The 14,878-nt window shown below is 43.2% G+C and overlaps 1 protein-coding gene across 5 annotated transcripts in view, besides 2 other annotated features; it reads right to left on the bottom strand.

Moving 5' to 3' along the window:
- KRAS (KRAS proto-oncogene, GTPase) overlaps nucleotides 1-1,918 on the bottom strand; it is a 45,684-nt gene extending 43,766 nt beyond the window's left edge. For 3 of the 5 annotated variants that reach the window (NM_001369787.1, XM_047428826.1, NM_001369786.1), the window contains exon 1: nucleotides 1,753-1,918. The gene's annotated coding sequence lies outside the window, so the exon portion shown is untranslated. Of the gene's footprint in view, nucleotides 1-1,739 lie in introns of all 5 variants that reach the window. The other 2 variants (NM_004985.5, NM_033360.4) reach the window with 1 other exon arrangement.
- Nucleotides 1,519-1,568: a silencer, noted in NCBI's record as "silent region_4293". NCBI's record gives its function as "represses an Ori minimal core promoter by ATAC-STARR-seq in GM12878 lymphoblastoid cells {active_cell/tissue: GM12878}" and the evidence as "EXISTENCE:reporter gene assay evidence [ECO:0000049][PMID:35858748]".
- Nucleotides 1,629-2,478: a silencer, noted in NCBI's record as "silent region_4294". NCBI's record gives its function as "represses an Ori minimal core promoter by ATAC-STARR-seq in GM12878 lymphoblastoid cells {active_cell/tissue: GM12878}" and the evidence as "EXISTENCE:reporter gene assay evidence [ECO:0000049][PMID:35858748]".

Genomic DNA, 14,878 nt, shown 5'->3' on the forward strand with positions numbered 1-14,878 from the left:
CCCATTTATAACTTATTTGTAAAATGATTTCTATTATAAACATAACATATACATTGTATAACAATTAGAAAACCTGTCTGTTTTGATGGATCTCAAGATTTAAGAAGGCTTAGACTTCAGCTATAAGATGCACATGCCACTGTGGGAGGCCGAGGCGGGCAGATCACGAGGTCAGGAGTTCTAGACCAGCCTGACCAACATGGTGAAACCCCCGTCTCTACTAAAAATACAAAAAATTAGCCGGGCATGGCAGCAGACACCTGTAATCCCAGTTATTCGGGAGGCTGAGGCAGGAGAATTGCTTGAATGCAGGAGGCAGAGGTTGCAGTGAGCCGAGACGGCGCCACTGCACTCCAGCCTGGGCAACAGAGCAGATGGAGACCATCCTGACCAACATGATGAAACTCTGTCTCTACTAAAAATACAAAAATTAGCTGGGCATGGTGGCGTGCACCTACTAGTCCCAGCTACTCGGGAGGCTGAGGCAGGAGAATTGCTTGAACCCAGGAGGCGGAGGTTTCAGTGAGCCGATACCGCGCCATTGCACTCCAGCCTGGGCAACAGAGCGAGACTGTGTCTCAAAAAAAAAAAAAAAAAGGAGATGCACATGTTTAAGTCTATTTCAGGCGGTTAGCTGGTGGATTGCTACAATTCCTCTGTAAGTTTAAAAAATCATGTAAGTGCTGTTTTGGAGTACTGTAATAACTCTTGAGATGTAGAACACATCTGCAAAATGAGGGTAGTATAAAAGAGACGAGGGGATGAGGGTAATACATAAGAAATAGGGGAAAGGACAAGAACAGGTAAATTAAACTTCAAGTACTATTTTTGCTATTGCTGTCTACACTCAACTAGCAAGGAAAAAGCCTTGCTTCTGCTCTGCGGGTTTTCTTCGGGTTTAACTTGACCAAGCAAAACAGACCATCTGGGATTAACTTTTTCCTTTTCACTGTAGGTCACAGGCTCTACGTGTAGGGTGTTGGCCACCTGTTCTTCCACCATCTCTACCTCCACCTCCTCCTTTGTGGCCACAGCAATGTCACAGCCCATACATGGGGGAGGGGAGCATTCAGGAACTCGGAGGCAGATGCATTTTTTTCCAAACACAATAACCTCAAACAGTGGTCTCTAAGCACTTTCCTATGCTCTTCCAAAACGTGACCTCCCCTCTTACTCACACATCCCCTACACACGGAAAAGGACCACTATCCGTCCAGCCTGCGCTCGAGGGAGAAGTTTATACCTTCGTCCTAGAGATGCCAAATGCAGCAGGGAAGGCTGGACCGAGGCAGCCGAGTGCTGGAAAGGGAGGCAAGAGGTGCGGGAGCGGGGAGAGGGGGAGGGGAGGCCGGGGCGCCGCGGGAGTAACCTCCACCGCACCCCACCGCTCCGAGGGGCAGCCGGCCCGGCCCGAGTTTCTCCCCAGAAGCCTCCAGCCGCGGCTCTCGGGGAGGAGGAAGGAAGGGGTTCCCCGTCCAGGAAGCAGCACCAGCGGCGACCGCCTCCAGCCTCACCCTCCTCAGCCCCGCACCGCCCATTCCTCACTCCCCGCGCCGCCGCGTCCGCGCGCCTCCCCCCTGCAGACCCCTCTCACCCAGCCCGCCCCGACCCCGCGCCCGCGCCCCCCACCCGCCCCTCCGGGGACCCCTAATTCATTCACTCGCCGCCGGCCCCGCCCGGCGCCGGCAAAGAGGGTCGGGACCCGGGCAGGGGCCCAGGAGGGGTGGTCCGCTCCGTACCTCTCTCCCGCACCTGGGAGCCGCTGAGCCTCTGGCCCCGCCGCCGCCTTCAGTGCCTGCGCCGCGCTCGCTCCCAGTCCGAAATGGCGGGGGCCGGGAGTACTGGCCGAGCCGCCGCCACCTTCGCCGCCGCCACTGCCGCCGCCGCTGCTGCCTCCGCCGCCGCGGCCGCCGCCTAGGAAAATCGAGCTCCGAGCACACCGATGAGTTCGGGGCCGGGCGGCCGCAGAGGGCAGAGCTATCGATGCGTTCCGCGCTCGATTCTTCTTCAGACGGGCGTACGAGAGGGAGCGGCTGAGGGCGGTGTGGGAAGAGGGAAGAGGGGGAGGCAGCGAGCGCCGGCGGGGAGAAGGAGGGGGCCGGGCCGGGCCGGCGGGGGAGGAGCGGGGGCCGGGCCGGCGGAGGAAGGGGTGGCTGGGGCGGTCTAGGGTGGCGAGCCGGGCCGGCTGGAGAGCGGGTCTGGGCGGCGCCTTGGCGGGAGGAGGGACTGCCGGACCCACGCGGCGGCCCGCCCCCTGCCTAGCCGCAAGGCTGTCCCCGCAGCCGCCAATTCTGACCCGGAGCGGGACCGGACCGCGGCGGGCTGTGCGGATGCCACCAGGGAGACGCCGCGAGCGGCCACGCCGCCCCGCTGACCGGTCTCCACAGAGAAGCTGCGAAGAGCACCCCGCCACCCTCAGGGTCGGCCTATACTGGCGCGCATCCATTTACTATCATTGACTGCATGTAAATAAACAAGCAGTCACCAAAAGTGGGAGGCGACTTCGGGGACTTAGGGAGACCGGGCGGACGATTTCCCACACCGGGGCTGTCTGATCGCCGCCCCGATTATTATCAGCCTCAGCACTTGGGCTGGGAATTTAGCCCCAGGCCCAAACAAACACGACAGACCCTTTCAACGCTAATCTTCTCGGGTCAGGAGGCTTGTGATATTTTGCTATCTTTCTTGATATTTTGAACCCATCACAAGGTCTCTAAACAGGGACTTCGCTTATACCCAGGGCCCCTGAAATCACAAACAAAAGACAACTGTTTTTAAGTAGAGATGGCCTTGGTAGTTTAGACCTGAGGAGAGTCATTCAAACATTAATTAGAAGACAGATTAATCAGTTAAAGTTCGTGGAGTTAAGACATTAAACAATGGGGCAATTAAACATGCTAGCATACCCGGAGTCTGTGTTGATAAACTACCTAGAAATGTATCTTGGGAGAGTCTTGAGGATTGAGGGCTGGAAAAGCAGCGCCTGTACCTGATAGGATCGCCCCTCCTCCGAGACTTTCAGTTCCATTCCTCTAGTCCACATCATAAACCACCAATAAAGCTGAATTTAAATCCCAGCTATTATGTCTGTTAACCAAGGCTTTACATCAACTGTCATCCTTTCCTTTCTACTCTTACACGGGCTGTAATCTGCAAGGTTTATTCCAGTCTCCCCCTCCTAGCGCCAGGTGGAAGGGGCAGAAGAGAAAAGTGAAAGACAGGGAAGGGGAGAAAATGTGCCTACTCTATGTTAAGTACAAGCTAAATCTTTTGCACTTATCGTATCATCTTATTTAATCATCACGACAACCTTATGAGGTAAAATACTTTTTACCGTTTTACAAATGACGAAACAGATTTAGAGGTTAAAACGTTGGCACAAGTTCACATAGTTAAAAAATGGAGTATACTTCATGTCGGATCATAGTCACTCTACTCCCAGATCATCAGTGGCCCTCATTCCACTTGACATAAAAGCAAAATTCTTCTCAAAAATCCTACATGGCCTTAAATTATTTGATATCCCCTACCCTCTTCTCTGAACTCTCATCCTACTGTTCTCCCTTCCTTACTTACGTAGATAAACATTGGTTACTGGCTGTTCCTTGAAAATGCCAGGCAGGCGTCTTCCTCAGGGAATATGCACTTGCTACCCCTCTGGCACCTCATTTAAATCTTTGTTCCAAAGTGTTTTTAAAAGGAGATCTTCCCTAAAAAGATCATCTTTGATACTGTAATTTCGCCCTTGTCCCAGATCTGTCTCTTTTCCTACTTTTTCTCCAGAGCTCTCATCACCTTCAATAATACACTATCTATTTTGTTTTCTTGTCTCTCTACCATCAGAATGTAAGCTCCATGAGGGCATGGGTTTTGGTCTGTTTCATTTACTGCTAAATTTCCAGCACCTAAGACAGTCTCTGACACAAAAAGGCATTCAATAAATATTTATGGAATGTTGAATGAGTGAATCTGTGGACCCTCTGTGGATTCTAAATCCTAATCCATGAACTCTGTGACTCTAAATCTTTACTTTAGACAGAGTGTCTTAAACCTCCTGTCAATCTCTGTCTTCATCTTAACAAAATCTGCTTTGAAACTTAGGTCACCTTCTGATAAGCCACATTCCGTGCAGCTCAGAGATACTTATCTCGTACATAATAGACACAAGGAATTCTTAAATGAATGAATTTGCGCTTATGTGTATGCTACTTTGTGGTCACTCAAGCATAAATCACAGATTTATTTTGTACAACATCAAGTGCATGATAAGTTCTTGTTTCCTCTTACAGCTGTGAATATGATGTTCTTCCTATAGTTGATGTTCCATACATCTTAAAAGGACTATAATATAGAAGAGGGGAAAGCTTTATATAGCACTTTTATGCTGATTATAAAAATTCTGGCATTAGCAGAAACCTAATCCATCCACATGGTCTCAGTTATCATCTAGGCTCATGATTCGTAAAGCAAATCTGCATCCAACCATTTGTTCCACGCACCCCACACTCCAGTTTTACCTCAGACACTTTCTCTTTCCTTTTCACTTCCACAGCAATTTATACATATGGTATGTCAGGTCTTTCTGCCGTTCAGTCCTGGGTACTTTCTTAGAAGCCGGCACCACCTCCTTGCAACATTACCTTTCTTTCCTTAACATAGAGGTCTCAAGGGTAAATGCTTTAGGAATCACCTGCCATGCCTACCAAAAATGCAAGTTCCTAGGCCCCTCACCCAGATATTTTATTCAGTTGGTCTAAGGTAGACCAGTAATCTTCATTTTTAGCAAATCAAATGATCCTAAACTGGTAGTTCACTGTGTGCACATTGAGAAACTCTGATGTAGATATTCAAATTCTTGGCACCTGCACTTTCTACTGTCTTCAGGGGTTCCTCTTTCTCGAGCCTGGTGGCTCCCTTGAACAGTCTCCCTGGCTCTCCCTTCCCTTGCTCTCTCCAAGGACAAGCACACTGAAGTAGCCTGTGATCACAATGGGAAAGGGGGGAGGAAATAAAAAGTATAAGCATGGGGATTCCAGGCCTGCTCTCAGCTACAACTGAAGTTTCTACCCTCTACTGTCAGACTGTCCTGGGAAGGCAGCCACGTACAAAGGTGTGCACGTACATACCCTTTTTATCTGCTGTACAGATAAAAGACCATACTGACCCTTTCTTTCACAAGAAACCCTCTTCTGCAGATAGAATTAAAGCCAGAACAACAGGAGTACCCTTATGTTACCTGGGCTCTTAGAAAAAAGGTATAAAATGCTAGGACACCCTCAGAGCACTGCAAATGCTGAGGATTTACTTTAAGGCAATAAGGACACTTTAAAAAACCCTATCATCAGGCGGAGAGCTGCTGTTCAGTCCAGCAATCAACTGCACTTGTGAGCCAGCAACAGGCTGTGGGGCCCTGCTCATCCCTTCATTAACAAGTATCCATTGCCTATGACTCTAGTAATTTTGCCATTCTCATAAATCACCATCTGTCCACTGCTTTTTCATGTAGTCTTAGCTTCTACTGCTATCTGTGCTTCTAGTGGTCACTCTCTGTGACTAACATTCAAAGCATTCCAAGAGAGAAGATCTGGCCATGTCTGTCATTCACTGTTCAATAGGAAGGGCCTTTATGGGACACAATTTTCCTGATTGGTGGCTGGCCTTCTTTATGTCTGGCTAAAAGATTATTGTGTTTGTTTGTGTGTCAACCCTGGGTCCAGACGGTTGTGGCCAGAGTAGCAGGACGCAGAGCAGGGGAACTTGAGCAGGAGGAGCCATCTACGATGCTTTCATGGACTCTACTTCAGCACAACCTTTTGACTCTGGCAGGAATTTGAACACATGAATGGGTGCTGCTTAATTCACTTACTCTGCACTTTATCCTTACTGGACACTTATTTCATTATACTTTGTATACCTTTTTTGCAAATATGTTTTCCCATAACTGCTTTACTAGGTTGTAAATTATTCCAGGCCCATTTCTTTTAATTCTATGTTTTCATAGTTCTTAGCACATTTGGGTCCTCTGTAAATATTCCTGAAGTGAATGAAATTATAACAAGCTTCAGTCCTCTCTCTTCACAGGCACTTCATTCTCATCAAACCAATTTCCTGGACCATTTCTAAATGAATATTCTGTTATCATGGCAAATGCCTGTCCAAAGCCAAATTCCCCATGTTATTCCCTCTAACGAATTCCCTCTCTCAATTCCTCCATCTTACCTGAGTGACATCATGGTCCTCCAGAACATTTAGACATGAAAACTTAATTTTTAACCCAGTCCTTATTAAAATTAGTCACAGCTCCTTTTAATTATACTTCCTGAGTATTTTCCCATATCTGCCTCTTCTGTATTCCTTCCTTCTCAGCTACATTTCTGGAATAACTTCTTCATTGACTTTCCTACCTCCTGGCTTTCTTTGTCTCAATTCAGTTTTATGATGTTGCCAAATTAACCTTTCTTCCGCATGTCTTTTATCATCATCAAACATTTACTCTGTGCCTGCTCCATATAGGCTACATGCATACTGGGTATATATTTGAACAGTGGAAAGAGTTACAAGCTAAGTACCTAATGAGTACCTAAAGATGATAAGTACCTTTAAAATTATAGGGGAAAATGATCTCTGGTCCCAGTTAAGTCTCCCCTTCCCGGAGACTTAATCTTGCTTCCAAGTCTGTAATAACTTCTTATATCCAGCTGAATCCAGTCCAAATCCTTGGTGCCTAGCTTTTGAGAGCATCCATAGTCAGGCACCATCCTGACCCTATGACTTTGTTTCCCAGCTTCTCAAAGCAGATAGATGGTCTCCCCTCCTTGAGTGAATCCCCTCTCTATACCCTTAAAATTGGATATTTTATTTATGTCTCTGCTCCTTTTCTCACCCAGCACCTTTTTGTCTTTCTGTTTGCTACAATTCTCTCTCATTCAAGATTTAGAATAAGACCTATTTTCTCCATGAATGCTTTGTTGATTATGCTGCCTCTTTTTTATCTCCTTCTCTATTGTTTTATGTGGGTTAATCATGTCTCCCCAAGTAAATTCTAAAATCCTAGAGGCAAGAGCCGTATCTCAGGTGTGTGAACCCCACTCACCTGTAGAGCCTAGTTCATTGCAATTACTCAATAACCACATGAATACACATAATGTGCTTATCAGCAAGGTAAACATGATGAAAGCAATGTTTGAGGAAGATTAGAATGGCAGCTACATGCAGAAAAGATTGGAAGGAAAAAAGACCTCAGGTAAAGTATTTTGTGGATAGCATAACAGTACCTAGTAGCGGTGGGAATGGTGCGCTGGCTTAATTTACTAGTCCTGTGAGCTAGAACAAATCCGTGAATCCCTTCAAGATTCATGTTTACGAATGGAGTAATGCAATAACTGCTACCATTTTTAAAACTCCTCCTATGAGCCAGACAAGATTTACACTATTTTATTTTATTTTATCTTATTTATTTGAGATGGAGTTTTGCTCTTGTCGCCCCGGCTAGAGTGCAGTGGCGCAATCTTGGCTCACTGCAACTTCCGCCTCCCGGGTTCAAGCAATTTTCCTGCCTCAGCTTCCCGAGTAGTTGGGATTACAGGCAACTGCCACCATGCTCAGCTAATTTTTGTATTTTTAGTAGAGATGGGGTTTCACCATGTTGGCCGGGCTGGTCTCGAACTCCAGACCTCAGGAGATCTGCAGTCCTTGGCCTCCCGAAGTGCTGGATTACAGGTGTGAGCTGCCATACCAGGGCAGATTTACATTATTTTAAACAAATCTATCCCACATTTGTCCACTTCTCAACTTCTTCGCTGCTCCCAGTGTAGTCCAAGCCATTGCTTTCCCTCCCCTAGGCAGGCAGATAGCAGCTAACAGGCCTCCTTGCGTCTGCTCTTGTTCCTCTACAATCTATTCTCCACAGAGCAGCCAGACTGGTTCTTTTAAAAATGCAAAATGGGTCATGTGACCAGATCAAGCTCTCCACTGGCTTCTGTTGCACTCACAATAAAATTCACACTCCTTCAAGCCGTTTCATGATCTAGTTTTTGCCTACTTCTGATTGCACCATGCAAGACCCTTATCCTCACTAGGCTTCAACTTCACCAGCCACCTTTTTCTTCCCAGTACACAGCGAGCTCTTTTCCTCCTTAGGCCTGTGACTGCTCTTTTCTCAGTCAGGCATGCCCCTGCTAGCCAGGTTTTCTGTCTTTCAGGTGTCAGCTGAGAGACATTGCTTCAGTGAGAGACTCCCCAACACCAGGTCTAAATCAGCAATCCTCACCTTATTCCCTAACTTCAATCCTTCAGTGAATCTCTCTTTCACATAGTGGCCTGTGTTATTCTTTTATTTAGCGCTTATCATATCTGAAGTTATCTTGATCATTTATTGACTGCTTGCCTGTTTCCTCCCCTGAAATATAAATTTCATGAGCCAGGGACCACTGAATCCTCAACGTCCAGAAAGAGCCTGGCACATAGTAGTCACTTAATAAAGATTTGTTGATAAGTTGCCATAAAGAAAATAATAGGACGAATAATCCACTCTAAGTGAGGTCTCTGCAAGTCAATTTAGATCTCTTGGCTTTGCTTCTATCTACATAATACAATAGTACTTCATTTAGGCCAGGCATGGTGGCTCATGCCTATAATCCCAGCACTTTGGGAGGCCAAGGCAAGAGAATCGCTGGAGTCCAGGAGTTTGAGACCAACCTGGCAATGTGGTAACATGGCAAAACGCCATCTCTACAAAAAATACAAAAATTAACCAGGCATGGTAGCATGCGCCTGTAGTCCCAGCTTTGGGGGAGGGGGGATTGCTTGAGCCCAGGAGGTCAAGGCTAAAGTGAGCTGAGATCACGCTACTGCATTCCAGCCTGGGCGATGAATGAGACCTAGTTTGAAAAAAAAAAAAAAGTGCTTTAGTGCTTGGTTTTGTTTTTAAGGATATCAGAAATCAGAAGTATTTTTAAAAATCATTTCCTTCTAATTCCCCAAGCATGTGCTAATTGGACTCCCTGCTGATTACAAGCCTGATTTTCCTACTTTCTGTCTCTTCTCTCTAATCACAGTTGTTGGATATGTTGTCAGGTGCTTCTAGTTCATTCATGGTGATATGTATTCAAATAGAGCTTTATTTGTGCACATCAGTTTAACATTATGGAGTCTAGGGGCATTAACCCTTTGGGCCCAGACATCTCATTTAGGATCCACATGTCCTCAGTTGAATAAGGCAAGTCACCTTTGAGGTAAATTCTTTTTGGAAGATTGTTCTGCCTTGTCAATAATTTTTTATATTAGAAGTCTATAAATGTAGAGAGGTGGTAAATGGAAGTATAAATGATTATTTCACTTTAATCTGAATTATTTTCATAAATAGTTGTAATGCCTGCATAAATTAATTCTATCTTAATGTATGAAAACCTCAACAAACTCAAACATTACCATTTGTTACAGGCCCTTAAGAAGCCAATATTAGCAGGCTAGGCACGGTAGCTCACACCTGTAATCCCAGCACTTTGAAAGGCCGAGGCCGGCGGATCCTTGAGGTAAGAAGTTCAAGACCAGCCTGGCTACATGGTGAAACCCCGTCTCTACTAAAAATACAAAAATTAGCTGGGCGTGGTGGTGGACGCTTGTAATCCCAGCTACTAGGGAGGCTGAGGCAGGAGAATTGCTTGAATCCAGGAGGTGAAGGTTGCTATGAGCCAAGATTGTGCCACTACACTCCAGCCTGGGCGACAGGGCAAGACTCTAAAAAAAAAAAAAAGAAGCCAATATTCAATATTAGCTAATCTAATATGTTAATAACATTTTATTCATTCAGTCAGTCAATAGGTATTTCTTTACTGAGCCCTTACTATATGCCCGGTATCATCTTTGATATTTGGGATGCATTGGTATACCAAACAGACACATATCTCTGCTATCTTGGAAGTCACATTCTAAGGCAGTGCTCCTCAGACTTTTTGATGTCAGGATCATTTCACATATTTAGAAGTTATTTGTTTAAAATAATAATAAACCCATCACATATTAACATAAATAACATTATGAAAATAATTATATTTTTAAAAATATGTAATGAGAAGAGTGGCATCGTTTTAACATATTTGCAAATCCTTAATGCCTTGTTTAATAGAAGAGGCTAGATTCTCAAATCTGCTCCTGTATTCTCTCTGTTATATCACATATAACCTCTGGAAAACTCCACTGTACACTCATGAGAGAAATGAAAATGAAAAAGGAAAATAACATCTCACATCTCAGTATTATTATGATTAGAGATTTGACCTTCCAGACCTCCTGAAAAGGTCTTGGAACCCCCCACCTCTGAACAAGGGTGCCTGTAGAACACTGAGAACTGCTGTTCTAAAGAATTTTTTATCAATTTTTTTTTTTTTTGCTAATGAAACAGGGCCAAATTGAATAAAGACCAATGCAATAATTAGCTTTTCCAAAACTATTGTTTTACTCCTCAGAACAGGTTATCTGATTCCCTCTTAGACAGTATCTATTGATAATGGTAACCAGGATAAATTATTGTTAAGATAATATACAAAGTAAAACAGATGCCCGAAATGATGCACTTTTTTGCAATAACTGAAATTTCTTGTTTTTAGGTCAGTCTTGTGTTCTTCAGCATCTTGAAGTACTTTACAAATTTTAATTAATTGAACTTCCCAAGATGCCAATAAAATGTTTCCAAATACAAATTTTGTGCACTTTGTAAACAGTTTGACAGGGTAACAGGGCTTGTCCTAGCTTGAAGGAAAGCTGTGAGCAAAACCAAAGAATTATTGTGTATTTATTGTGACTATAAACACACTATATTGTCTCCAGACTTTTTTTTTTTTTTGAGACAGAGTTTCCCTCTTGTCGCCCAAGCTAGAGTGAAATGGCGCAATGTCAGCTTACTGCAACCTCCACCTCCCAGGTCCAAGTGATTCTCCTCCCTCAGCCTCCCACATAGCTAGGATTACAGGCACCCGCCACCACGCCCAGCTAATTTTTGCATTTGTAGTAGAGATGGGGTTTCACCAGGTTGGCCAGGCTGGTCTCGAACTCCTGACCTCAGGTGATCCACCCGCTTCAGCCTCCCAAAGTGCTGTGATTACAGGCGTGAGCCACCGCACCCGGCCTAGACTGTTTTAATTTACCATGTTTGTCAGGAGAATGGACTATGTTGTTATAATGAAAGTTACTGCTCTCAATGTCTTGACAATATTTTATCTTTCATTTTGTTTTTTACGCCTTTTTCTTTCCTGTCTTGTTCTCTCCCTTCTTCCCTCCTTGCCACCCTCCTGTCTCCTTCCATCCTTCCTTCCTTAATATTTTTCAGAAAAAAATGCCAAAACTATAAAATTCCTCGAAACTTAATTTAATCATGAAATCTTAACCCACCTCCATGAAACATCCAGCTATCTAGAAGTCATCACTTAAGTGACCTCAAACTCACTGTATCTCATCCACTGATGTTCAAGTCACAATAAAATCTTGTCACTCCTCTGTTCAAAACTTCCAATAGCTTCCCATCTCATTCAAAGGTAAAACCCTCAGATGACCTACAAAGGGCCTCTTACCTTTCCAATTCCATGTCCTACTCCTTTCCTCCTGGTTTGATCTTTTACTGTCACAGTGACCTCCTCTTTTTCCTTGAACATACCAGGCAGACACCTACCTCAGGGCCTTTGCACCTGCTGTTCTCCCTGCCTGGAAGGCTCTTTCCTGAGATAACTCATGGTCTGCTCCCTCACCTCCTTCAGCTCTGTGCTGAAATGCCACTTTCTCATTGAGGTCTTTCCTGACCACCTTATTCTTAAAAAATGAAACTTCCATCCCAGAACTCTCTTTTCTTTATCTGCATATTTTCCCATATAACTTATCACCATCTGTCACACAATATGTTTCACTTATTTATTTGTTCATAGTCTGTCTTCCCCCAATTAGAAATTAGGCTATACAAGAGCTAGGATTTGTGTCTGTTTTATTCACTATGGATTTCCCATCACTAGAATACATAATAGACACTCAAAAAATATTTGTTAAATGAAAAAAATAAATCGTAAAATGCACTTTGACATGTGTCAGAATGAATAAGAATGTAGCCAACTAAGAAAACATGCTTAAGTGTAATAAATAGGTATTTCCAGAAAATCATCCTGAAGTCGCTATTTCATCAACAATCAAGGATAAACGGATATTCCATTCAACTTTTTCTACTGGCTTCAGAATATTATACAGCTTATATTGTTTTTTTTTTTTTAAGTGAATGGCAGGACTACCAAAATGAATTCTGTTAATAGATAAATTTGTGAGCTGAGTGTAAATTCTCCTCAAAATTTTATATGAGAGAAGGCACTTAACTACCTTTGAACTTATTCTTATACATTTCTTATTTTATCTTTATGGTTTAAGAAAGCTACTGGCCTAAGATCAGTTTTATCAAAACAAACAAAATAAACCCTCAATAACCAATCTAATTTTCTAAGTGAAAATGTGTTATGAGTAAAGATATTTATGTATTATAAAAATCAAAGAGCACATACTAGGCAATTGTATATAATTTTTGATAGAATTTGAAGAATCAAATTCAGAAAATAGAGGTACGAATGAAAAACTGAGTCTGCTGTGGTTTGAATGTGTCCACCAGAAAGCATGTGTTGGAAACTTAATCCCCAGTGTAACAATATTAAAAAGTAGGACCTTTAAAAAGTGATTAAGCCATGAGGGCTCTGCCCTCATGAATGTAGTAATATAATTATCTAGGGGGTGGGTTTCTTATAAAGGAACAAATGTGGCTCCCTTTTGTCTCTTTCTCTTCCTCTCTCTTTGCCCTTCCACCATGGCATGGTGCAGCAAGAAGGCCCTTGCCAGAAGCCAGCCCCCTGATCTTGGACTTCCCAGCCTCCAGAGCCATGAGATAATAAATTTCTGTTTATTATAAACTACCCAGTTCCGCTGGGCACAGTGGCTCACGCCTGTAATCCCAGCACTTTGGGAGGCCGAGGTGAGAAGATCACCTGAGGTCAGGAGTTTGAGACCAGCCTAGCCAATATGGGTGAAACCCCATTTCTACTAAAAATATAAAAAAATTAGCCGGGCATTGTGGCAGGCACCTATAATCCCAGCTACTCGGGAGCTGAGGCAGGAGAATTGCTTGCACCTGGGAGGCGGAGGTTGCAGTGAGCCAAGATCATGCCACTGCACTCCAGCCTGGTGACAGAACAAGACTTCATCTAAAAAAATAAATAAATAAATAGCCCAGTTCCACATATTTTTCCATAGCAAGACAAAATGGACTAAGACAGAGTCTAATTAATACTGGGAATGTGCACATGTGTGTGGATGGTGGGGGAATATATTGTGTGTGTAGACCTTATCAACCCTCAATAATGCCTGGTGGTGATAGCATCAAGTCTATCAGCTCTGAACTAGCAAACTGTTGAGATGTATTTAACTGCGAGGATATCTACAAGTCATTTGTAACTAATGTTAAAGTACTTCACACTTCAGTTGGCTTTAAAATTTTTAATTCATGCTCAAGGTTACCCCTAGCACAATGCTTCTCAAGCTGGCTTGAATTATCATATGGCTTTCTTGAGTGGGAGTTGCAGTGAGTTCCCATGGGAGTATATTATGAATGTGATTATCCTCAATCATTTGTGTCTCAGAGAGAAAACATTGAGAATTATTGGTCTGATTCATTTTCCAAGGAAAATTAGAAACCCTACAAAATAAAGAAGAAAGCAAGCAAAGCTTTGATATCATTATTAATAAGCTGTTGGGCCATCATTTTCTAATAATTTTAGAGTGAAACACTAGATAGCCATTCATCATGACCATGGTTTCAGATGGTTAGAAGCAAGCTGCTGTAATGCATGTAGGTTCACAGGGTGAAATGGGAGTTTCAAAATTTCCAAATGGTGCAGTGTTATGCATTGACTCATTAATATATGAAACTCAACATCCAAAGGTAGATCACTTTTGGTTTTCTTTCAAATCTAAGATTTCTCAGAGCATCTGAAAAAAACAAAAAGCATTACTTTGTAAGAGAACTTGGGGCTGATTAGGCTTCCAGTAACATCTCTACACAAAAAAGTAAACAATGTGTAGAGTAGTTATTATTTTTCCTTATGTGCTGTTAAAGAAACAAGCTGTTATGGAACCGCATCTTGTATGTGATTCCATTGCTATAAATTAAAGAAAGATGTGTAGTATCGCTGTGACACTAGCTTACTATAGACAGCTGTAATAAATAAATAATGATGTGTATAAATGCAAGACACTGACACACATACTCAATACTACCACTGAAAAGTATATGTAGTTTTATAATGATAATACACATAATCTTTCACCTAGGCTTTTGCACTGGGTTCCTAACTGGTCCCCTCAATTATGATTTTTCTTTCTTCAAATCCACTTCATATACTATTTTCAGATTAATCCTCTTGAAGTACACTGCTGACATCCCTCCCTTCTTCAGAAATCATAAGTGCCTACAGCATTAATACCTATGGAATAAAATTCAAACCTGAGTCTGCTGTTTCAACCATATTTGCCACTACCCTTTCCCTTAAGGTGCCTTACTGAAGCTAAACTTCTTCACTCCTCTACTTGTCCTGCCACTGTGATTTTGCCCGCTGCCTGGAATTCTTGTTTCATGTCAGAATCCTCCATGATTTTTAAGCGTTAGCAAAGCAGATTCTAATGGGGAGACGGTTCTAGACCTGTGTGTTATACCTACTCCTTGGTTTTATGGGGAAGTGAAAACTCTCCAAAAGTGCAAATATTTGACCACTATTTTTACAATATTCTCTCTGATGTATTTTTATCATAGCCTCAAAAACTTTCATGACAACATAATACCTTCAAAACACCGTAAAAGTCT

This window comes from Homo sapiens, chromosome 12 (assembly GCF_000001405.40).
Source record: "Homo sapiens chromosome 12, GRCh38.p14 Primary Assembly".
Classification (NCBI taxonomy): domain Eukaryota; kingdom Metazoa; phylum Chordata; class Mammalia; order Primates; family Hominidae; genus Homo; species Homo sapiens.